General features: G+C 41.5%; 1 protein-coding gene across 6 annotated transcripts in view, besides 7 other annotated features; it reads left to right on the top strand.

The window, feature by feature from the left end:
• MAPKAP1 (MAPK associated protein 1) overlaps nucleotides 1-24,077 on the top strand; it is a 269,815-nt gene that overhangs the window by 54,640 nt on the left and 191,098 nt on the right. The window lies entirely within an intron of this gene.
• Nucleotides 1,780-1,989: an enhancer, noted in NCBI's record as "active region_29013". NCBI's record gives its function as "activates an Ori minimal core promoter by ATAC-STARR-seq in GM12878 lymphoblastoid cells {active_cell/tissue: GM12878}" and the evidence as "EXISTENCE:reporter gene assay evidence [ECO:0000049][PMID:35858748]".
• Nucleotides 2,030-2,079: an enhancer, noted in NCBI's record as "active region_29012". NCBI's record gives its function as "activates an Ori minimal core promoter by ATAC-STARR-seq in GM12878 lymphoblastoid cells {active_cell/tissue: GM12878}" and the evidence as "EXISTENCE:reporter gene assay evidence [ECO:0000049][PMID:35858748]".
• Nucleotides 2,105-3,304: an enhancer, noted in NCBI's record as "P300/CBP strongly-dependent group 1 enhancer chr9:128411544-128412743 (GRCh37/hg19 assembly coordinates)". NCBI's record gives its function as "activates an origin of replication core promoter dependent on BRD2, BRD4, P300/CBP, MED14 and CDK7 cofactors, with strong dependence on P300/CBP, by STARR-seq in HCT116 cells {active_cell/tissue: HCT116}" and the evidence as "EXISTENCE:reporter gene assay evidence [ECO:0000049][PMID:35650434]".
• Nucleotides 2,140-2,409: an enhancer, noted in NCBI's record as "active region_29011". NCBI's record gives its function as "activates an Ori minimal core promoter by ATAC-STARR-seq in GM12878 lymphoblastoid cells {active_cell/tissue: GM12878}" and the evidence as "EXISTENCE:reporter gene assay evidence [ECO:0000049][PMID:35858748]".
• Nucleotides 2,420-2,469: an enhancer, noted in NCBI's record as "active region_29010". NCBI's record gives its function as "activates an Ori minimal core promoter by ATAC-STARR-seq in GM12878 lymphoblastoid cells {active_cell/tissue: GM12878}" and the evidence as "EXISTENCE:reporter gene assay evidence [ECO:0000049][PMID:35858748]".
• Nucleotides 6,487-7,080: an enhancer, noted in NCBI's record as "H3K27ac-H3K4me1 hESC enhancer chr9:128407768-128408361 (GRCh37/hg19 assembly coordinates)". NCBI's record gives its function as "activates a minimal SCP1, AML or CMV promoter by ChIP-STARR-seq in primed H9 embryonic stem cells {active_cell/tissue: H9 hESC(primed)}" and the evidence as "EXISTENCE:reporter gene assay evidence [ECO:0000049][PMID:30033119]".
• Nucleotides 15,796-15,945: an enhancer, noted in NCBI's record as "active region_29009". NCBI's record gives its function as "activates an Ori minimal core promoter by ATAC-STARR-seq in GM12878 lymphoblastoid cells {active_cell/tissue: GM12878}" and the evidence as "EXISTENCE:reporter gene assay evidence [ECO:0000049][PMID:35858748]".

The raw sequence follows: 24,077 nt of genomic DNA, 5'->3' as shown, positions 1-24,077 counted from the left end.
GTTAACTTGTTAGAAAGTAACCATTTCTCTATTAGAAACTGTTTTAATAGGGAAGCTGCAGAGAGCATGGGGGAAGGGATAATTCATGAGTGCTAATTGCTTGGCTGTTAATTTTCATAAGTGTTGATAGAAGCAGTTCCTTAAATTAAACTTTGTTTAAAATGTATCAGGGGAAATATTCCACAATGTCGAGCCTGAAGTGAAAATTAATATGAATGCTGTGGCAATTAACACATACTGGTTAATAGCTTTTAGCAGCATTTTGGGATGATAGTCCTTAAATACATTTTTGCATGCTGCTCTTGTTTCAGCATTGTTCCAGTCTATGTCGGATAATTATGAACAAATGTTTTCTACAATCATTGGCATTAAATAGCTCTCTTCAAAGAAAGTCACTTAAAACTTTGCAGAAAAGCATGAAGCCACCGAGAAATGTTGCAAACTCAGAAAAGGTCAGCGAATTGAAATCACGTAAAAAGAAAAATTGCCCTTAGTGGAAAAGGCACCTCATCTGAACTTGGAAAATATGCTATTCTTGTGGGAATGGTCCCTTCTAATATGTTAAACTACGTTTGCTTCTGGATCTCTTTCCCAAAGAAAAAAAAATGTAGCCTGGGCTTTTTAGTGTTGGCTGTGTTTCTAGAAAGCAGCTTTTACTTAATGCTGCCTGAGCTGAGGCAGTGGCCTTCAGCCTAAGGGTCTTCTGGCCTTACTTCCTTCTCCTTTACCCCCAACCCCTACTCAACTGGTGGGGGTGCGGGGGTAACCATGAATGAAGAAAGAAGTTGGCTGCATAATACGGAAAGTCCACCACTGCTCCTTTCAGTAAGAGTTCTCCAGGGCTTTGCTTGCTTAGTGCCCAGTATGAGATAAATCTAGAGTGACTATATTTTGAATTAGGAGCTGTTCGTCTCAGTTGTTCAGTGGCTTCATTTACATACTTTTGTTTTGTTTTGTTTTTTTGAGACAGAGTCTCTCTCTTTTGCCCAGGCTGGAGTGCAGTCGCACCATCTCAGCTCACTGCAGCCCCTGCTTCCCAGGTTCAAGTGATTTCTCCCGCCTCAGCCTCCCGAGTAGCTGGGATTACAGGCGCCTGCCAACACACCTGGCTAATTTTTGAATTTTTAATAGAGATGGGGTTTCACCATGTTGGCCAGGCTCGTCTCAAACTCCTGACCTCAGGTGATCTGCCCGCCTCGGCCTCCCAAAGTGCTGGGATTACAGGTGTGAGCCACTGCGTCCAACCTACATACTTTTTAAAAGAAAAGTCTCAACATGATTTTAGCAGTTATTCTCCTGGCTACTTATCTCTGTGACTGTATTTTGCTAGTCTTCCTTTCATAGATCAGTTTTTGTTAGTCTATTCTATTTCTAAAAGAAGATGGAGTTTAGATATTCACTACCATTTACATATTCTGGTATATAGTATAGAAGGATCGCCGGGCACAGTGGCTCATGCCTGTAACCCCAGCATGTTGGGAGGCTGAGGCGGAAGGATCACTTGAGCCCAGGAGGTTGAGGCTGCAGTGAGCTGTGATTGCACCACTGCACTCCAGCCTAGGTGACAGAGCAAGATGGTGTCTGAAAAAGAAGGATCAAATTCATTAAAGACATCTCTTTGTGAGATTATTTCCCCCTTACCATTATATTAATTCTCTCCTGTTGCTGTTGCTTCATGTTATACTGAAAATCCCAAGGGAGGACATTGGGATTTTTGTCTTGATGGTCAGTTCGTAATGAGTTAAATAGGAATCACAACAAAATGTTTTCGGCATTCTACTTCTCATAGAAGTTAAATCCTCTATGCTGAGTTCTTAAAACTAACTTCTTCCACCCTGAGCTCTCTGTCTAGGCCTCATTTCTGCAGTTAGCTGTGAACCTTGCCAGTCTGTGGTGGCTTCCTTTGTTGTGGAGCCATCTTCTAAAAATTCCATGAGGTAGAATTCACCATTGGCTTAAGGCTTTTCAAAGGAAGGCAGACTCTTGCCATGGAAAGAACATGTTTGTCAGGCTTGGGTTAAAATCTTTTGATCTGAGAGCTAAAGGGTGAGTAAGAACTAGCTAAGAAAAGGGGGAGGAGAAAGGAACAGAAGGTCTGAGGCAAGGGGAATTTGGCAATTTTGAGGAACCAAAAGAAAGTTGTGTGACTGGAGCCCTAGGGTGAAGTAGATCGTGGTGAAAAGTGAAGCTCTGGGGGAAGACCGGGTATGATTGGTAGAGGTGTTCTCTTTAACCTCATGGCACGGGGAAGCCTTGAACAAGGATTTAAATGGGGAGGTGAGGTAATCAAATTTGTTTTGAAAAGACCCCTGGGGCTGTGCTGCCGAGTATATCCCTGAGAAGGGTTTGTGAGGATAGAGAAACTAATCAAGACATTTTTTGCAGTGCTCTGGGTGAGAGAGTGGTAACTTGGGCTTGCTTGTTAGAATGAAGATGGAGTGAATGAATTCGAGAGATATTTAGTAGTAGGCAAAAGTGGTAGGATTTGATGATGTATGCAGAGAACAGGGTTAGAAGGGGGTTTGAAGGATGATTTCCTGGTCCGTGTCCGGCTTGTGGAGCTGGATGGATAATGAAACCATCCCTGAGTTAGGAAGCACTGAAAGAGGGCTTCTCCCTCAAAGAACGAGGCCATAATTTTACTATCTTGAAGATATCTCTCCAGAGAAATCAAATGACAGCCCAGGGTCACCTAGCTGGGCATAGAATCCAGGTGTTCTAATTCTCAAAGATTCTTATTTTCTTCTTTTCTTTTTTTTTTTTTTTTTTTGAGACGGAGTTTCTGTCACCCATTGGCAGCTGTTTTGGACCTGCTGACTACAGATCATAGACTGTTACCATGTCCTTGAAGACACTGTACATCTTTTTGGGAGGTGGGGTATATCCTATTGTCTGGTTTGTGTTTGGGGAATCTGAGGCAGTGCTTTTTGAGGTGAGAGTGGAGCAAAAAGCCTCTTTTTTGTTCTCGCTTGTCAGCCAGCCTTGAAACTGGCCAAGGAATTGCCTTCAGACGTTAGTCACCTTCCAGACACTTCCTCTCCCATCAGTCACTTCCTCTCAGATGACAGGGATGTGCACTCAGATGCCCAGCCTGACTCACCAGGCCATTCAGAGGAGAAAACGATAGGGTAATTTTATTCTTTTATTTTCGAGAGAGTAATTTTAAATGAGGCAGATGCCAGGTGTCATTTAAGACGTGTTGATTGTAATTGTTGGAGGTTAGGGGACTAAGAGGTAAACAACATGGACGTATTTTTGTTACAATGAGATTACTGTTGTTGTACTACCTTCTCACTACCTGACTAATTACCAGGTTAGAAGAGGGAATCTGGTTGGAATGAATATCGAGCACTGAGGTCTAGCCCAGGAGACAATCCTTGTAGGTATGGAGGGGACTAGGGATGGTGTCATTTTACATTCAGCCTTCTCATCCTGGGGTACTTTGCTCTGCATGGTTTGCAGTAGAGAGATTGTCTTCTCCCTCGAAGAATGAGGCCATGATTTTACTATCTTGAAGACCTCTATCCAGAGAAATCAAATGACAGCCTAGGCTCCACCTAGCTGGGCATAGAATCCAAGTGTTCTAATTCTCAGAGATTCTTATTTTCTTATTTTCTTTTCTTTTTTTTTTTGAGTCAGAGTCTCTGTCGCCTAGGCTGGAGTGCAGTGGTGTGATCTTGGCTCACTGCAACCTCCGCCTCCCGGGTTTAAGCGATTCTCCTACCTCAGCCTCCCAAGTAGCTGGGATTACAGGTGCGTGCCACCACGCCCAGCTAATTTTTGTATTCTTTCTAGAGGCGGGGTTTCACCATGTTGGTCAGGCTGGTCTCCAACTCCTGACCAGGTAATCCGCCTGCCTCGGCCTCCCAAAGTGCTGGGATTACAGGTATGAACCACTGTGCCCAGCTGAGATTTTTATTTTCATTAATGGGGTTCATACAAAATGGAAACTTGATTTCCAGGACTACTAGGCCATGTGTTAGAAGGAACACTGACAGGGAATCAGAAGACTTGAGTGTTAGTCCTGGCCATGCAGTTCCTTCTCTCTGATGTAGGACAAGTAATCTCTCATCTATGAGCCTTGATTTCTGCGTGTTTAGAATCAGGAATGTGGCTTAGATGACCTCTTGGATTCTTTTTGGCTTTAAGATTCCAGAGTTTTGTGATTAGGGAGGTGATTGACATCAGTGAGATGTAGGGGGGTACAGATGGGAAAACTACAACTTTTGAAGAGTTAATCTTTTGTGTATACATTGGAACTTTCCTCTTAATTATCCTAACAGAACAGTGATCTAGGGAGTATTAGCTCCAGGTGAGGGAACAGGCTGAGAGAGAGAAAGTGAGGTGCTCAAGGATTCCCCACTAGTGTGTGGCAGAGCTGGTATTCAGCTCCTTTTTCTCCTATTCCAGTACCACAGCTCTTTTTCCTAGACTCTTGCAGTCGTTGTTATGGCGAAAACAAAAACAGTTAACATTTGAAATTTTTTAAAATTTAAAAACAAAAGTTTTTCCTTTAGCAGTGGACTTGAAACCTGACGGACTGCTTCAGATCTTTTTATCAGTTATATGGATTGGGCAAGTTACTGCATCTTGTTAGCCTTAACTTCCTTACATGTAAAAAAAAAAAAAAAAAAGATATTGGGACTGGGGAAGGGGAATGCTTTCACACGTAGTAACTGGTGTGTGCCTCACAAATGTTTGTTTATTTCCATTGATTTTTCTGGTGTGCAGAGTGGATTCGTTCACACATCTCTATCCATCGAATACATCATTTACTAGGCACCCACACTGTACTGGCTCATTTCAAACATTTATTGCATACCAGCTCTGCACCGTGCACTGATAAATAAAATGGGGCTGACTGCCCTTGGGGAACTTAAAAGACAAGAGCGGCCATATGGCCATCAAGTGGAGAAACTATACTTTACATGAATGATCGTGCCCAGTGCTGAGGACTGTGACAGTGGTCCATGACATTAGGTGCACCTGACCGAGCAGAGGAACAGAACCACGAACAACAAACCAGAGAGCAAATGTGATGGGCACTATAGATGAATAGTAGATGAATACTGTCTACGGCTCGGATCTGAGCCAGTTTCTTATCCTTGGTGTGGTTGTCCGAATTTCAGTTGTATTCCTACAGGCCAGGGAATTCAGCTTTGGTCACTCTTATAATGAAGCCCAGAATGGTACTCTCCACATAGAAATGTGGAAGTTTTTAAAAATGGCAGTGATAAATTTCAAATGTCATTATTCTTTGAGGCTTGCAACTACATGGCAGTATCATAAGAGCTGTGTTTTATTAGTATTTCCACTTTACTTTCTGTTAAACTGAAGTTTAACACCTAGACAAAGATACATGTAAGAAATTTTACAAAATACATGTAAGTTTAGGAAATTTGCAAAATATGCTGCTATGCAACCAAAGATTAAATTGATTTGTTATATGTGCATTTAGCTACAATTCATTTTAATTGTCCGTATGAAGTTAAAAAGTATTAGTGTCAGATAAAGATTCATCACCAGAGCGTGATTTAAGGCTGGTGCTGGAGAACGCAGGCATGTGTTCCGGCAGATGTTTGTATAAGGCGCTGTCTTTCCTGACAGCAGTTAAAAAGTATGGTTATAGTAATCAAATTGTGGTGCAGCGACTCTGAGGCTAGGGCCAGATTGAATTAAAATAGATATAAGATTTATGAATAGCAATAGCTGTGATAAAATTTCACTGCCTTCTTCAACAGGAAGGACTTTTTCCACTGTGGAAAGAAGAAAATCTAATAACCACTTTTCTAAAACTGTGGTTTTGCTGACTTTCATTTTCTCTTCCTAATTATGGTATCAAAACAATAACTTGCTGGGTTCTTTTTTCAACCATGATGACCTTTTTTTCCTCTTTCTATTTTATTAGGTTTCTAGCTTTAAAACAAGTCTTTTTAAATGATGTTATTGTTTTAGTTTAGAAACAAAATTCATAAAATCTAGCCTATGAGATTTAAGCCCCCTTTTAAGGAAGGTTTTATCATTATTACCATAGCTCCATTTTATTGAGTCTTATTTTGTACCAAGTCCTCTAATGGACTTGATATGTAGCAATTTGTTCAGTCCTCATAACATTCCTTACTGTTGTACAGAGAAGGAAACTGAAACTTCACGGAAGGGATAAATGATGGCTAGGCTTTGAAGCTAAATTTGTGAGACTCATGGCCTCCTGATGGCATTGTATTAGTTTTTTGTTTTGTTTTGTTTTGTTTTGTTTTGAAGAGACAGGGTGTTGCTCTGTTGTCCAGGCTGGTCTCCTGGGCTCAAGTGATCCTCCTACCTCTACCTCTGTATTAGTTTTAAATTTATTCTATCCCAGGCATTTATAATACTAAGATCTCTAGTCTTTTCACCACCCAAAGGCTTTGAGGTGGTTCTCAGATTGACACAGGAAAAGCATTTCTTTAATATTCATGAAGTATGTAATTTAAAATATGGGGAATACCTTTGTGTACAGTTGATGTAATATTTGAGGAGCCCATTTTTGGTTAGCATTTTAATACTTCTCAAGATATCATTACTGAATTAATGTTAAGGGCAGCTTTGTTTTATCACAATTATCTCAAAAAATTTTTAAAAATTTTATTTAGTGGCACCTATGGGGAATAATTTTACATGATCGGAACTCTGCCTTCCAGGTGTTTGCATTCCAGAGTCAGCACACTGACAGGGATAAACAAGTGGCCAAGTAGGCAGAGGGTAGTTGACATTGTCTCACATGAGTTGATTATAATGCATTTATTCTATATGGATGTCAAGGAAACTTGGTACTTTTTTTTTTTTTTTTTTTTTTGAGACAGAGTCTTGCTCCATCACGCAGGCCGGAGTGCAGTGGTGCGATCTTGGCTCACTGCAACCTCCACCTCCCAGTTTCAAGTGATTCTTCTGCCTCAGCCTCCCAAGTAGCTGGGACTACAGGCACCTGCCACCACGCCTGGCTAATTTTTGCATTTTTAGTAGAGACGGGGTTTCACCATGTTGGCCAGGCTGGTCTTGAACTCCTGAGCTCAGGTGATCTGCCCGCCTTGGCCTCCCAAAGTGCTGGGATCATAGGCGTGAGCCACCGTACCTGGCCAATTTGGTATCTTTTTAAGTAAAATTAGCTTGAGAAAGAAAAATCTATGTTTGTCATTGAACCTGAGTTGTCTTTAAAACTCCATTGTCATCTGCGTTCTCACTGAGCTTCGTTTCTCAGGTGTTGGGGGAAAGTGTGCATGTGTTTTACTTGAGGCTGGCCACAGTGGAAGGACTCCAGTCACATCCTTTTGTGAGGAGGCTGGGGTTGGGGTTTGCCTCTGTAGCTCTTCTGCAAAGCTAGGGGGCTTGTATTTCTCTCTGCCTGGGCAGAGGCCTGCTCTTCAGGTCCCCCTTGGCTCTAGTGTCCCTTTCAGCTCATCTCCTTTCAGCCTTTCCCCTCCCCTTTTTCTTTTGGTGACGGTTACTTTTTATGCGCAGACACAAAGGACCCAGAATGAATTTGTTTGTCTTCAAAACTCTCCTTGTAGTGGTTTTGAGATTCCTTTCCACCTCCTACATGTTTGAGGGGCTGCCACATTATGACTGATGATTGCGCTATGTCTAACATGCTCTTGAATATATTAAAAAAACACATTTTTCATATTCAATTAGATATACAGAGAAAAATGTTAATATGTAATTTTGATCTTTAAATGCAGTTATGTAGAACTAGAAATGGATATTATCTCTTTAAATGAGACAGCAAGAATAGGTCTGTTGACCATGAATAATTTTTGTCAGTTTTGCTACCCCGGCAGATCCTTCATTAAGCGTTCAGCATTAAATTAAAATAGAACCAGTTTCCAATAGTAATTAACTTGAGTATATTGGGAGGCTATTATTCACATTAAAGTAACCTTTTAATAGCTCTGCCTTTAACTTCACTGCAGGTAATGACTTTAAAGAGCACTTATTAAAAGAGAAATGGTAATGAGCTTTAATAAAGCAGAACAACTTGAAAATTAAGAACCATTTTCTATGGAAAAGGATGTATAGGTGTGACTTCGATATTACATTAATGGTGCTAATAATTCTTTATCTGGTCTCTTAACATTAGCAGTGATTGCAAAGGGACAATTGTGTTGCAAAAATTAATTTTGCCATTTTGGGTTAAAATTGTGCTAATGTGAAATTTTCTGTTTCATGTTTTTTTTTCAAGGACTCTTACTACTACGATAGATGAGTTGCCTACAGTTTGTAATTTTGAACCCTTATTATGCACCCCATCTTTAATGAAAATAACTTAAATGGGCTAACGTAGGTTGTCTTGGACCATCCTGGTAGTTCATACATTAGACACCTGCCTTAGGAGGTTATGAGGTGATTAGTAAAATGTCTATTTTTCTCCTGAAACCTATCCTTCTAAGGACATCCCAGTGGAGATCCATTGCTTTCTGATCTCTCCATTCCCCTCTTAACCTCTTTTGGGGAAGGCTGAATGCTTCCTGAATATTCCACTTTTTAATTGGAGCTCTAATTGAGTTAAGGCTTGTTCTTAAATTTAAGACTTGATATTTCCTGGCTACCTATCCAGTTGATTGTCTTGCAAAAACATGCTTATTTCTGCTTATATTTTCCCAGAAATTTTAAGATGAAGCAAAAATGAAACAACAATAGTATAGAATTGTTTGCCTTTCACATTGGAGAGAGATTAAACTGGAAGCATTTCCCATGTTGGCAAGACCAAAAATTGGCGAAGTTTTCTGGAGGGTAATTTGGTGATATATATCAAAAGCCTAATTATATATATGTCCTTAGACTTGGAAAAAACACATCTAAAAATGTATTCTTAGGAATTAATCAGAAACGTATATACAAATGTATTTTCATTGTGTATTACTGAAACACTGGAAGCAACCTCAATGCCCAATAATAGAGGATTAGTTAAATAAATTATGGCATAGTATCCACCTAATGAATATTACATAATGATTGAAACAATGACATCTATGTCACTTCTTGATATAGAAGGATTTGTATAATATGGTGAATAAAAAGATTAAAAAATAGCATGTATAGGCCAGGCGCAGTGGCTCACACCTGTCATCCCAGCATTTTAGGAGGCTGAGGCAGGCGGATCACCTGAGGTCAGGAGTTTGAGACCAGCCTGGCCAACATGGTGAAACCCCATCTCTACCAAAAATACAAAAATCAGCTGGATGTGGTGGTGGGTGCCTGTAGTCTCAGTTACTCGGGAGGCTGAGGCAAGAGAATTGCTTGAACCCAGGAGGCAGAGTTTGCAGTAAGCCAAGAATGCACCATTGCACTCCAGCCTGGGTGACAGAGTGAGACTCCCTCCCCCCAAAAAAAAAACGCTGGGCGTGGTGGCTCATGTCAGTAATCCCAGCACTTTGGGAGGCCAAGGCTGGCAGATCACCTGAGGTCAGGAGTTCAAGACCAGCCTGGGCAACTTGGTGAAACCCCGTCTCTACTAAAAATACAAAAATTAGCCAGACGTGGTGGCAGGTGCCTGTAATCCTAGCTACTCGGGAGGCTGAGGCAGGAGAATCGCTTGAACCTGGGAGGAGGAGGTTGCAGTGAGCTGAGATTGCACTGCTGCACTCCAGCCTGGGTGACAGATCGAGACTCCATCACAAGAAAAAAAAAAGGCATATATATTATATTTTTGTTAAAATTGATACCAGTAGGCTGGAGGAGGTCCCCAAATGCTGGTGGGACCTCCACCCCAACCTGTGTCCAGGCTCTTGATACCATCGTGAGAATGAATTCAAGGATGAATCAGAAAATAGTGAAAATGTGGAGATTTATTGCAAAGGGAAAAGCACACATTAAAGAAAATGCAGCGTAGGCATACTCCTGCATGTGCAAGGGGATTTGGGGTTGCTACCTTTATGGGTTTCTTTAACTGAGGGGTAGATTATTCCTGACAAAAGGTGAAGATTTCTCAGAACTGTGTTACCACCTATTTTTACACCAAATATGGGTGTTCTCAGAACTGCCTGGTGCTGGTGGGTGTGTGATTTAGTATGTTAATGAGCATATAATGTGGTCCTAGTTGAAACCTAGGTCAAATCCAGCTCCATATTGGGTCTAGTTGGTCTTAGTCAGCTTTGTCCATACTCTGTTTTTCAGGATCTTACCAGCCCATAGCCTTTAGTCATGTGAAACTGCTGCCTGGAATTTTTATTCTCCTGTGTCCACCCTATATTATTCCTGTCTGAAAATAATTATATTCACATAGAAAAAAGTATGAAAGGATGTACACAAAATGTAAAGAGATTACTTCTGACTTTAGTTAGCAATTTAATTTTTTTTTTCTTTTTCTTCCTTCTTTCCTTTTTTTTTTCTTGAGACAGTCTTACTCTGTTGCCCAGGCTGGAGTGCAGGGATGTGATCTTGGCTTACTACAGCCTTGACTTCCTGGGCTCAAGTGATTCTCTCACCTCAGCCTCCCAAGTAGCTTGGACCATAGGTGCATGCCACCACACCGGCCTAATTTTTTAAATTAACTAATTAATTTGAGACAGAGTCTAGCTCTGTTGCCCATGTTGGAGTGCAGTGGCATGATCTTGGCTCACTGCAACCTCTGCCACCCAGGTTCAAGTAATTATCTTCTCTCAGCCTCCCGAGTAGCTTGGATTACAGGCATGCGCCACCATGCCTGGCTAATTTTTGTATTTTTAGTAGAGATGGGGTTTCACCATGTTGGTGAGGCTGGTCTTGATCTCCTGACCTCAAGTGAGCTGCCTGCCTCGGTCTCCCAAAGTGCTGGGATTACAGGTATGAGCCACCACGCCTGGCCTATTTTTATAGAGACAAGAGCCTCACTATTTCCCTAGGCTGGTCTTGAACTCCTGGCCTCAAGTGAACCTCCTGCCGTGGCCTCCCAAAGTCCTGGGATTACAGGTGTGAGCTGCTGCACCTGCATATTTAGCAATTTTTATTCCAGTAACTTTTTTTTCTCCCTAACATGAATGTATTGCTCCTTTAATTGTCACAATAATAATGAAACAGAAGATGTTCATGTGGGAAGTTATAAGAAACTCACCCAGTTCTGTTTAGAGAAAAACTGATGGGCTGTTTTTAGATAAAGTTGATTCTGCTTTTTAAAACAATGAAATGTCATTATTAAAAACCAGACATCTGTCAGAATCTGTGAGTGCTGAAAAAAAATGTAAAAACCATACAGTACTCATACTTGACATCTTAAACTATATAGTAATTATCTTTTCTTGATTAAGAAAAGCCATTGACTACTTGTTTGATATTTTTATTAATCATAGATTCAGAAAATTTTGAATGGCTATTATGTGTAGAGTATAGGCACTAAGGGAAGGAGGGGAAATGAGAACTCTGTCCTCAAGATTAACAGATGAAGATAATAATAGTGTTTACTGTTGACCAAATGCTTGCTATGAGCCAGGCAGCATGCATCTAATCTACACAGCATCTAATATACACAGAAATATGATGTGTGGATTATTATTTCTATGTTGAGATACTGGGTCTGATAGAGATTAAACAACTTGCCTAAGATCACACCCTGCTATACGGTAGGGCCAGCTTTGAATCCAGATTATCTTACTTTTGGAGTTTATACTATTTCAGAAGAACCACATGTATTAAAAGAAATATTTCCACACATTTTATTTGCTTGTCAAATACTGTATATGTTAGTAGAATATTAGAGTCTCTAAATTTCCCAACATGTTGCATAAGAAAATAATAGCTTCAGCTTTTTCCAGCTTGGTTCTAGAAGAGTACTCAACTCAGAGACCAGGGTTCTGTTACTTACCATGTCACTTGCTTTCTAAGTGTCTTTGACTTAGAAGACTTTGACTGCATCATCTTACCTTTCTGAGGCTAAATTAACTAGTCAGTAAAAAGAGTGAGAATGGATGAGGTCATAGCCATCATTAGAATTACATAGTATTATGGTCATTATGAGACATTGAGGAATATTTGGAGACTTAAGTGTTCAGGTTTGCTTTATGAGAATACTGTAGGCAAGGTAGATTTTTCATTCATCAAACATTTATTTAATGTTTGTCTTGCTCCTGGCAGAGTAAGTGGTCTCGGGGGTGCATTGATGCAAGGGTAATCCCTGTCCCTCAAGGAGCCAGTTCAGAGTCTGAGATAAACAGAATGTGGCCGGGCATGGTGGCTCACGCCTGTAATCCCAGCACTTTGGGAGGCCGAGGCGGGCGGATCACGAGGTCAGAAGATCGAGACCATCCTGGCTAACACGATGAAACCCTGTCTCTACTAAAAATAGAAAAAATTAGCCGGGCGTGGTGGCGGGCACCTGTAGTCCCAGCTACTGGGGAGGCTGAGGCAGGAGAATGGCATGAACTCAGGAGGCAGAGCTTGCAGTGAGCAGAGATCGTGCCACTGCACTCCAGCCTGGGTGACAGAGCGAGACTCCGTCTCAAAAAAAAAGGGATAAACAGAACGTGATGATCTAAGGACAGGATGATTTGGAAGTACAAAGGAGTCATGCCTATACTGAGGTCTTAGTAGGAGAAGTTAGCGAGTACTATGTCCAGCTTTGAAGGGTGAGGAGAACCTGGCTGGAATCTTTGACTGAGTTTTTCACTGCCTGCCTTGAGGATTCTGCCCCCATGCGCCTGTCTGTGTTCAAGTATATCTCCCCAGAAGGAGAAATAAGCCTCTCACTGCCCTCCTCATCATAACCTTCCATGCAGCTGTCTGTCCTTCCTAGAAACCTATAAATTCTGATTCAGGTCTTTTGTATTAGAAACCAGATACTGTATCTGCTGCCATGTAAACTTCTTTCTCCTGGAAAATTCCTAGGTGTTCTCTTAAGAGCCAACTCAGACGTCACCTCTTCTGTAACATTTCCTTGCCTCATCTGAGAGTGGCCTCCTCCTCTGTACTTCCACAACAATCGTCTCTTTAGAGTACAAATTTGTCTCTTCCCGTGCCTCTCTCCCCCACTTCCCTGTGTACATAGTGCCCAGCATAGTGTTCAGTAGGTATTAGGTGGGACGGAGGGAGAATTTAAACAATTTTAATGATAACGAATATAATAATGACAACAAGCATATATTGAGAATTAGCTATGTGCCAGGCACAATTCTGAGTGCTTTGCATGCATTGATTAATTCTCAAAACAGCCTTGTGAGGAGAGATGATAACCCCCGCAGTGAGAGGTGAAGGAGACTGAGGTATGGGGAAGTTAAACAGCTTGCCTTAGGTCATACAGCTAAGAAGTGGGGAGTCTGCAATTTGAACCTAGGCACAGCTCCAGATAGTGGTTTTTTGTTTGTTTTGTTTTGTCTTGTTTTTTTGAGATGGAGTCTCTCTGTGTTGCCCAGGCTGGAGTGCAGTGGTGCATTCTCGGCTCCCTGCAGCCTCCGCCTCCTGGGTTCAAGCAGTTCTCCTGCCTCATGCTCCCCAGTAGCTGGGACTACAGGCATGCACCACCACACCCTGTGAATTTTTTTGTAGTTTTGGTAGAGACGAGGTTTCACCATATTGGCCAGGCTGGTCTCGAACTCCTGGCTTCAGGTGGTCCGCCCGTCTCAGCCTCCCAAAGTGTTCAGATAGAGTTCTTAAATCTCTATATTTGAAGGGCTCCCAAAGGTCTTCCACTTGTTATTGTGAGGTTAATTCTCAGCCAGATTTTTAAGTGGCTCCATGTTTTCCCGAAGGGGTTGGCCCCAAAGGTGGTGATCGTTCCTTTTGCCCTGAGGTTTTCATAAAATCCTTTTGCAAGTGAATATTTGCAGCTGTAGCCATTTGAGAGACAATGATGTGCTTAGGGACAGAGTGCACTATTCTCCTGATGACAGAATGCTTTATGTGCTGCAGTCTTAAAGGGTGCAGGCCCTGTTTCCTCAGGCCCGAATGATTGAGGGACATGAGTGAGAGTAAGCAAATTGCAGTTTAATCTTGGGCAGATCGAGGTAATTTGTACAGAATAGTGTTTAGACTTGGCTGGGAGAAAGGATGTTGCTTGTAGAAAAAGCAGAAAAATATTAAAGTGTATTTTGTGTGCAAAACAATGGGTCTTTCTGTGAAATCAGTAATATCCAGGGGATTATTTTCAAAGAAGGATTGTTTCCAAAGTGAGACTTAAGCCAGAATTGACTGGAGTACTTTTCTTCTATTTCACCACTCTCTCCCCACAGTGTGTGTCCCTAAGGTCAGCCAGTGATTCCTTCTCAGTGTCTGTCAGATTTGACACTTCTCAGATTCACCAGTCACACTCTTGTTTCAGGACCAAATCACAGCCCATTTATATTACAGGAGCACCTTCCAGGCTGGTCTCTCTGCTTCATGTCCCCTCTCTTTTGGTTTGTCCTGTTCATTGGTGGCCAGATTAAATACTCCCACTGCCCTTCCAAGGTAGCAAAACTAAACTCCTCCACTTGACAATCAGAGCCCTTTCCCTCAGACACTTTCCAATTTTAATTCTTATTGTTGAGTTCAGTTCAACCATTAAGTACCCATTACCAGCTGGGCGTGGGGGCTCAGACCTGTAATCCCAGCACTTCAAGAGGCCAAGACTGGTAGATCACCTGAGGTCAGGAGATCGAGACCAGCCTGGCCAACATGGTGAAACCCGTCTCTACCAAAAACACAAAAATTAGCCAGGTGTGGTGGTGCATGCCTGTAATCCCAGCTACTTGGGAGGCTGAGGCAGTAGAATCGTTTGAACCTGGGAGGCATAGGCTGCAGTGAACTGAGACTGCGCCACTGCACTCCAGCATAGGAAACAGCGAGATTCCGTCTCAGAACAAAAAATAAGTACCCATTACCTACCTACCTTCCTATTGTGGGTATGCTACTTTAATACATCGTTTCTCATTTAATCCTTGTAATAGGCCAGAGATTTTTTTATTCTTGTTTTCTAAATGAGGAAACTAAGAAACAGAGAGGAGAAAACCCCACAGAGGAACTGGCCTGTAGGTGAAAAATAATTATTTGTGAAATGAATGAATAAAAGCAAGCCATTAAGCAAGTTTACACAGTACTTAAATCTGGGTCAGTCTGATTCCAAATCTTCTGTTATCCTGAGTCCCAGCGTGGCCTCACCTCAACTGTTGTATTACCTGACAGTTCTATGACCACAAGTGATTTCTAATTTTTTCATACATCTGGCCCATTTCCTCATTTTTTTTTTTAGAAAACAGGGCAAAACCCATTCTCTTTAGCACTTTGATACTTGAACCACCTTTTATCTGCTCATTCCTTCTGCGCTTGTGCATCATTTACATTATACTTTTTTTATTTTTATTTTTATTCATTTATTTTTTTGAGACAGAGTCTTGCTCTGTCACTCAGGCTGGAGTGCAGTGGTGTGATCTCAGCTCACTGCATCCTTGGCCTCCTGGGTTCAAGTGATTCTCTTGCCTCAGCCTCCCAAGTAGCTGGGATTACAGGTGTGCGCCACCACATCCGGCTAACTTTTGTATTTTTAGTAGAGACAGGGTTTCACCATGTTGGCCAGGCTGGTCTCAAACTTCTGGCCTCAAGTGATCCACCCACCTCGGCCTCCCAAAATGCTGGGATTACAAGCGTGAGCCACCGTGCCTGGCCAGTTTGCAATAAATTTAATTAGATATTGACTTGTGGCATTTCTAATCAGATCATCTGCATGTATGTATGTCTTCTTAGCTAGACACGAGATTTTTGGGCTAAGGTGTGAGTGTGGTGGATTAGGGTAAGACAGGGTTGAGTCCTAGCTTTGCCACTTATTCTCTGTGTGACCATGAGTAAGAAGTTAGCTTCTCTTGGACCCTTTGTCCTCTCCCTCCAGCCTTGCTGGTAGGAGTGGTGCAGATCACCTGGCAGATCATATGTAAGCAAATGCTGCTATAGTCATTGGCACATAACAGATGACCAAGGCATGTTTGTTGATTCATTTTCTCAGTTAATTCATGCTGTTTTAGTTGTGAATGGTCTGGTAGTAGATACACTGGATGCACCTGCCCTGTGTTCATTATTTGGTTTAGAATTTTCTCCTCAAGGATGGTGATTGTTCTGGCACTATTAGATTGACTTTCTCAGTTCACATGTTAGAGAATATGCAGTTATCTGGCAAAAGCCACAGTTACAGAGTTGTTAGGTATGGAGGAATTTTGAATTATCTAATTTGTCTCTATTGTATCTTGATATATATGCGTTAGCTTTTTTTCCTATGTATTTTCAAACCAGTACTTCCTAGTGTTTTTAAAGTGTTTGGTTTCATTTTTTGCTTTCAGTTTTATTTTTTTTCTCTTCTGTATATTAATATGTCCCTTTCAGGATAACTTTCATCTGTTCTAGGCAATGACACCTGCTATTAGGTGTTTTCTGCCTTTGGCTTGGTCCACAGTTGTGCTCATCTTAGAACCAGCCTCCTTTTTTCTGTTGTTCAGCAGCAGTTCCCCAGGGTTCACTCTGACACAAATCAGTGGTGGAGGAAGACTTGGGAATAGGGAATGTGGTCTCTGCCCTGGAGCCGTGTGTCCTTTAGGAGAAGGCACTTCAAAGCAGCAGCTGTTCCCATTACACCAGCCGCAGCTGATACCAGGAGTTCATACATGTCCCAGGTTGAACTGAGCTGCTCTAGTTGAGCCATATATGAGTTAACATGTCTGTTAACAATTTCTATTTAGTTTAATTTAGTGAAAACTTATCAACCCCCTACTTTCTGGGTCCCATGGATACAGACATGAATAAACTGCTACGCCTGCTTTGAAGTAACTTGTAGACTGGTAGGTATGCAAATGACAATAAAGAAGCATTAAGAAATTTCTGTATAAAGACTTACCTTAAAAATCAGAATTTCATGATTGTATCTCTCTTCAAGCCATAGATGCAAAATCATCTTTACATCATTTAGCATGATTTATAGTGTAGGTGTAGTTTTGCATTCTGCTTTTTTACCTGCTTTTGTGTTGAGTTTTTCTTGTTTGTGTAGAATGCAAATAGTGTTTAGATTACATTCCTTTGGGCAGATATTTCAGTTCACTAGTCTCTTTCTCAGACAGGGCTGCTTCATGAACGGTCTTGTGGCAAAAGGTAGGGCGCATTTTAGCAAATAGTAGAGCAGTGATCTCTGTTGGCAAAGGTGCCAGATCAGCCTGAACATAGGGTGGAAGGCTTTTTTCTTGACTTTTTAATTGAGCAGCAGCTGGGGAGCTAAGAAAGAAAAAGATGGTTTGGGAAATGGAGAGAACTCACTGATAGTTCATATCTAGGAGCTTTAATTTAATTTGTAGTATTGGGAAATGTTTCTAATCTTCTGAAAAGGGGCTTGTGCCACAAACGATGTTTGAGGTGAATGGGTCTGTTCTAAGTTCTGACTGTTGGTGTAGACGTTTAAGAGCATCTGGTAAATCAGAGGGTAGGATTAGCAGGACTTGAGGACTACCTGGCCTTAAGGGAACAGTAGGCTTCACAGTAGGAAGGCTGACATTGCTGGAGAATAGCGTGCCATCGAATAAGTGGAAAAAGAGTAAAGATTAGTGCCCAAGAGAATGAGTCCATCATGAGACTGGTTAGCTCTATTTGTTGACTAACTGGAGAGGAGATGACATTTCCTTCCAGTAGATTGAGATGGAGAAAAGCAGAAGACTAGCCATCAAAAGTGTGGATTACTGTCCCAGCTTCTGTTCTTTCCTTGTTGTCATTCCTTCACATGAACTCTTTGAGAGTCTTCACCTGAAAAAAATGGGGACAGTCTCACCTACTTGATGCAGTTACTTTGAAGGTTAAATAGAAGATGCTCGTGAAAGTAGTTTAAAGGCTGCCTACTGTTATTCTACTGTTTTATATTAAGCATTATGTTTTGAGACTTTGACTTTCCATCTCCCCTCTAACCCTTTATCAAGCATTGTCTGGATCATATGCCAAGGAGAAATTTAATCCATACCTAACTTCACCAGTACTCAGTTTGCCCACAGAAAATGGGTTCGTTAAGCTGTGTAAAATTTTTGCTAGTTGGAAGGGAAGTGAAACTATAATTGTTTCAGTGGGATTTTTTCCTCCCCCAAACCTTGTGAAAAATGTATTCATGTGTTTTATGAGACTCCCCCACAAGTCTAATTTGATGACAAGAATTGCTGTTATTGCTAAATTTATTACACGTTCACCTCTTTTCCCTGAGTGACTCATTATTGAGTCCTAGAAATGCAACTGTGTTTTTGTTTAGGAGGAGGTTGTGGTAAGGGAGAACTTAGGGATGACTTTTAAATAAGAGAACTTTGTATTATATTTATCTGTCTGGAGGCAATAAATCTGTTTCAGCAGATTAAATACAGACTTCTTTATAAAGCCTTGTTTTCTCAAACCTCTTATCAGCAGCACTTGGCAGTAATCACACCTACGGAAACTTGTAATTTTCCTCAAGGAGGTGACACTGACAGAATTAAAAATGAAGGAGCCCCCCTGAAAAGCAAGTTCATTACAAATTAACAGTGGTCTTAGCAAAGCAGTGGGCTAAGGCGTGTCAAATAGCGATATGGATAAAGAAACCCAGCATTTTAAACTGTCAGAGCTGGGAGCAAGGCTAGCCTGAGAACAAATTAATCACATATTGTCAAGGCAAAGTTGCATCAAATTAACACATCGGATTCCAGCATATTAATGTCAGAATGCTTTCACCTGATTATTACTGCAAACCATTGCCACTCTTTGAATGCAAAGATATAATTAAATTGCTAAATAGAAAGTGCATATAATATCTCCACATGCATTTAGGATGCATGAGCTGAAAAGTGCACATCCTAGGAAGTGACAGATTCTATTTGTAGGGGAGAAACTTTACTTTTTTTCCCCTTTTATTTACTTGAGAGTACTAGAGTATGAAATTAGAAAAGTTAGTTATGTTATTCATATTCTATATGAATTAGATGAAATACAGGTTTAATTTAACTGATTTGCTACACTGACTATGAGTACATAATTACCTCTGCATTTTTCTGGAAGAGAAATGGGACAATGTTGCAAAATAGTACTTTGCATCAAAATTGCCCATTACACATAATCCTGGTGGTGGATTCGTCATCAGAAAGTGCTTAGGAGAAACTAGATTGGCCATTCTGACAACTGTCTTTTATGTAAGGATTACTTTCTGTCTCAGCTTAATCTAATATGTGTTCTATTATATTTAAAATAAGAATTCAGGCAGAAGCCCAGCTGTGGTTGACCTTTTGGCTCAAGGAGGCAGCCCAGCAGGAAGAACTTGCTTTTTATTAGTCCCTGTTTGTCCCAGGTGATACTTGGGCCAGGCTTTCTGACTTGCTGTCTTTGTTATCCACAATCAGCCTTGCTGTCCCTGTTACTCACACTTAGATTTGGCTACTCTCCCTGTGTCCTCTACCAAGCTCTGTTGGCGCTGTGCATTGAAATCTTCCTTAAATCTCACTTCTTTCATGAAGTCTCCTTCAGCAACTCACACTTCATAGACTTCTCTTTTCAGCTTTGGGATTGAGCGGTCTTGCATTTACAACAGCTCACTTAGCAGAGCTAAAGGGCTTGTAAATTCAAAAAAGGGAAGTAGTGATTGCTAGGAGCCACCATGGGTTTCCTCAGAACCAAGCAGGGCAGAACAAGCCCATTTCTTTCTTGGATAGGGTTGTTAGCTAGATAGAGGGCTGTGGTTAAAATTCTTTGTTCTGAATTTCAGTAAAGCATCAATTTTTGCATAGTATTCTTGCACGCAAGCTGGAGATATTCTCCAGTCACATTGTGGTCAGGTGGACTTTGCACCTGGCTGAGAGACGAGGCACAGAGTGGTGATTAATGGATTTATGTCAAACTGGAGAGCTATCTTTCGTGGCAAGCTGTAGGTCTCTTGTGTGTTCATTGCTGTCAGGGACCTGAATGAGAACATTGATGATAGGCTGATGACACTTGTGGAAGGCAGAAGGCTGGGAAGAATAGCAGGCATGTGCAGTGACAAAGTCAGGGACTAAAGTGGTCTTGACACACCAAAATGATACTTGCACTTAAGTCATAAGATGCAGTCATTTGTGTATGGGGGTGGCAGTGGAAAAGGGGAAGAGGAAGATGAGGTTTAACCAAGTAGCACATGAAAGAAAAGGTTTAGGGTCATGGTTAATTGTAACCTCAGTATGATTCAGCAGAGCCAGGTAGTTAGAAGGAAAACTCATGCATTCATTTCTCAAATATTTCTTGAGTGCCTGTATGTGCCAGGGACTTGACTAATGCTGAGGATACAATAGTGAATGAGATAGTCCCTAATTTAATGGTATGTGTAATCTTGTAGGGAAGTCAGACAATTATAATATAGCATAATAAATGCTATGAGAGGAAAAGTTTAGTATGGTGAGTTTCTTCTTTTTTTTTTTTCTTTGAGACGGAGTCTTGCTCTGTCACCCAGGCTGGAGTGCAGTGGCGTGATCTCAGCTCACTGCAGGCTCTTCCTCCTGGGTTCAAGTGATTCTTCTGCCTCAGCCTCCCAGGTAGCTGGGACTACAGGCATGTGCCACCATGCCTGGCTAATTTTTTTGTATTTTTAGTAGAGATGGAGTTTCACCATGTTGGCCAGGCTGGTCTTGAACTCCTTACCTCAAGGGATCTGCCCGCCTCGGCCTTGCAAAGTGCTGGGATTACAGACATGAGCCACCACGCCTGGCCTAGTATGGTGAGTTTCTTAGAGGAAGGACACCTGGCCTGGGCTTCGCATGGGAGAATATCAGGGAAGACTCCTTAGATGACCCCTAAGCCAAGCCTTGAAGGATGGGAGGAGGTTAGGCAGGAGGCTTCTAGGTAGGTGAAGTGCTGGTGTAAACATCTGAGGTGAGAGATGCTGGTAAATTCTGGGCAATGAAAGTAGTAGGGTATGACTGGAATGTGGAGGCTGAGAGCAGAGGAGGTGAGAGACGAGGCTTGATCAAGAAGAGTTTTGATTTGCTCCTGCTAGTTGTATTTGGAGCAGGAAACTGACATCCTTACGTCTGAATAAATCACCATGGCTGTGGTTAGCAAAAGTAGGGAATTTAGTGTGGTGAGGTATAGTAAGTTCTGTACAACAGACATTTACAACTATAAGTGTCTATTCAGACAAGTGCCACAAGGAGGTGGTAGAGACTAGGAACCGGGTGGGGCATATGAGTTGGGCTTTACAGAATCCATCCAGAGAAGATGTGAACATTGCCTGAAAATAGTAGAAGGGTTCTTGGGTAGAAGATGCTCTGCATGGCTCTGCCAGGCTGGACAGAGCAAAGGCAGTTGTCTTCATTCATTTTATGTTGCTATAACAAAATGCTGGAGACTGAGTAGTTTATAAAACAAAAAGGTTTTTATGGTTCACAATTCTGATGGCTGGAAAGTTCGAGATTGGGCATCTGCACCTGGTGAGGGCCTCAGGCTGCTTTTACTCATTAAGGAAGGCAGATGGGGAGCTGGGGAATGCAGAGATCACATGGTGAGAGAGGAAGAAGGACACGGGGAGGTATCAGGCTTTTTTTTTTTTTTTGAGACAGGATCTCACTGTATCACCTAGGCTGGAGTGCAGTGGTGTGATGACAGCTTGCTGCAGCTTCAGACTCTTGGGCTCAAGCAGTCCTTCTGCCTCAGCCTCTCAGGTAGCTGGGACCACAGGTGCATGCCACCATGCCCAGCTAATTTTTAAAAATTATTTTTTGTAGAGATGGCGTCTCCCTTTGTTTGTTGCCCAGGCTGGTCTCAAACTCCTGGGCTCAAGTGATCAACCCAACCTCTTTTTAATAAGCAGCTGTCTCTGGAACTAATAGAGTAAGAACTCACTTCTCAGGGAAGGTATTAATTTATTCATGAGGGATCTGCCTCCATGATCCAAACACCTCCCATTAGGCCCCATTTCCAACATTTGGGATCAGATTTCAACATAAGGTTTGAAGAGGACAAACATCCAAACCATAGCAGAGGTGTTAATCATCTTTCCATGATTAAGGGTTCAGTGTTGGCTGTTTGTGTCCTAACTCCCTAGACTTGCATTGACATACCAGGGCTGCTGCACTGCTTTGGGCCAAAGATTTCCTCATCTGTAAAATAATAAACCATACAATATGTGAAGGCCAGAGATAGTGTTTTACAAAGCACCTGGTATGGACTTGTGCTGAGTAGGAATCTAGCCAGTTATTGTAGAATCGAGTTATTGGAGGCTGGGCATGGTGGCTGATGCCTGTAATCCCAGAAGTTTGGGCGGCTGAGACTGGGGAATCACTTGAGCCCAGGATTTCAAGACCAGCCTGGGCAACATAGGGAGGCCCTGTGTCTGCAAAAAGAAAAAAAAAAGAAATTAGCCAGGTGTGGTGGCACGCGCCTGTTGTCTCAGCTACTTGGGAGGCTGAGGCAGGAGGATCGGTTGAGCCGGGGAAGTCGAGGCTGCGGTGAGCTGTGATTATGCCACTGCACTCCAGCCTGGGTGACCGAGCGAGAGTTCCTGGACCCTTGACTGTCTCAGAGATTACTAGAGTTAGGTGTCACTGATTCCTGGCCTTGACTGTTATGTTTCTACTTTGTAGGGGTTCTAAGGCCTTAGTTGACCCTAGGCTCAGTGTCCCCTGCCTCTCAGTGCACTTCCATCCTACTTCCCCACATAGTTTGTGAGCTGAAGCATACAAACTAATTTTGATATTCATGTCATTTAAATATGTTTATAAATTGTGTGTTTACAAAAGCCACATTTATTATACTCCAAGGACATCTAAAAGTGACATTTTGTGTTATACATGGCCTTGTCTGCTTCGACTAGTATAGGTGTTTGGGAGTGAACCATGCCTGCATTTCCGTGTCTTCTTTTCTTTTTTATTTTTCAGTTAAAATTGTCAAAAAAACACATAAAATTTACCATCTTAACCAATGTTAAGTGTTCAATATGGTAGTAACTATATGTACGTTGCTGTCAACAGACCTCTCAAACTTCAGTCTTGCAAAACTGAAACTTTATGTCCATTGAACAACTTCCCTTTTCCTCTTGCCCCCAGCCCTGGCAGCTACTTTTTTACTTTGTTTCCAAAAGTTTGAATGCTTTAGATCCCTCATAAGATATATGGTAGTAATACTGGAATCATGCAGTATTTGTCTTTTTCTGACTGGCTTATTTCACTTAGCATCATGTCCTCAAGGTTCATCCATGTTGTAGCATAGGACAGGATTTCCTTCTTTTCAAAAGCTGAATAATGTTCCATTGTATATACACACCACATTCTCTTTATCCATTCATCTTTTTATGGACATTTAGGTTTTCACTTCTTGGCTATTGTGAATAATGGTGTGCTGAACATGGAAGTACAAATATCTCTTTTCAGTACAAATATCTGTTTTCAGTTCTTTTGCGTGTATACCCAGAAGTGGGATTACTGAAATTATATGCAATTTGTAATTTTTTGAGGAACCTCACATTGCTTTCCATCGTGGTTGCATTATTTTACATTTCTACCAACAGTGCACAGGCTTCCACTTTTTCCACATCCTTTGCAACACTTTTTATTTTCTGGTGTGTGTGTGTGTGTGTGTGTGTGTGTGTGTGTGTGTTTTGACAGTGACCATCCTAACAGGTGTAAGTATGGTACCTCGTTGTGGTTTCAATTCGTGTTTCTCTAATATTAGTGATGTTGAGCATCTTCTCATATGCTTGTTGTCCATTTTTACATCTATGCAAGTCCTTTGCCCATTTTAAATTGTTTTTGTTGTTGTTGTTCTTGTTGTTGTTGTTGTTGTTGAGTTGTAGAGTTCATTATATATTCTGGTTAGATACATGACCCCTGATTAGATGTATGGTTTGCAAATATTTTGTCCTGTTGCATAGGTTGCCTTTTTACTCTGTTGTTTTCTTTGCTGCACAGAAGTTTTTGAGTTTGATATAGTCCCATTTGTCTGTTTTTGCTTTGATTACCCATGCTTTTGGTGTCATATTCCAAGAAATCATTGTTACATCCAACGTCATGAAGTTTTCTCCCTTGATTTCTTCTAGAGGTTTTATAGTTTCAGGTCTTACATTAAGCCTTTAATCCATTTTGAGTCAATTTTTGTCTGTGGTGTAAGGATTCACCTTCGTTCTTTTGTATGTGGATATCCATACAAAAGAATCCATACAA

This window comes from Homo sapiens, chromosome 9, assembly GCF_000001405.40.
Source record: "Homo sapiens chromosome 9, GRCh38.p14 Primary Assembly".
Classification (NCBI taxonomy): domain Eukaryota; kingdom Metazoa; phylum Chordata; class Mammalia; order Primates; family Hominidae; genus Homo; species Homo sapiens.
The sequence above is the reverse complement of the archived record's forward strand: the minus strand, read 5'-3'. Positions and strand labels throughout refer to the sequence as shown.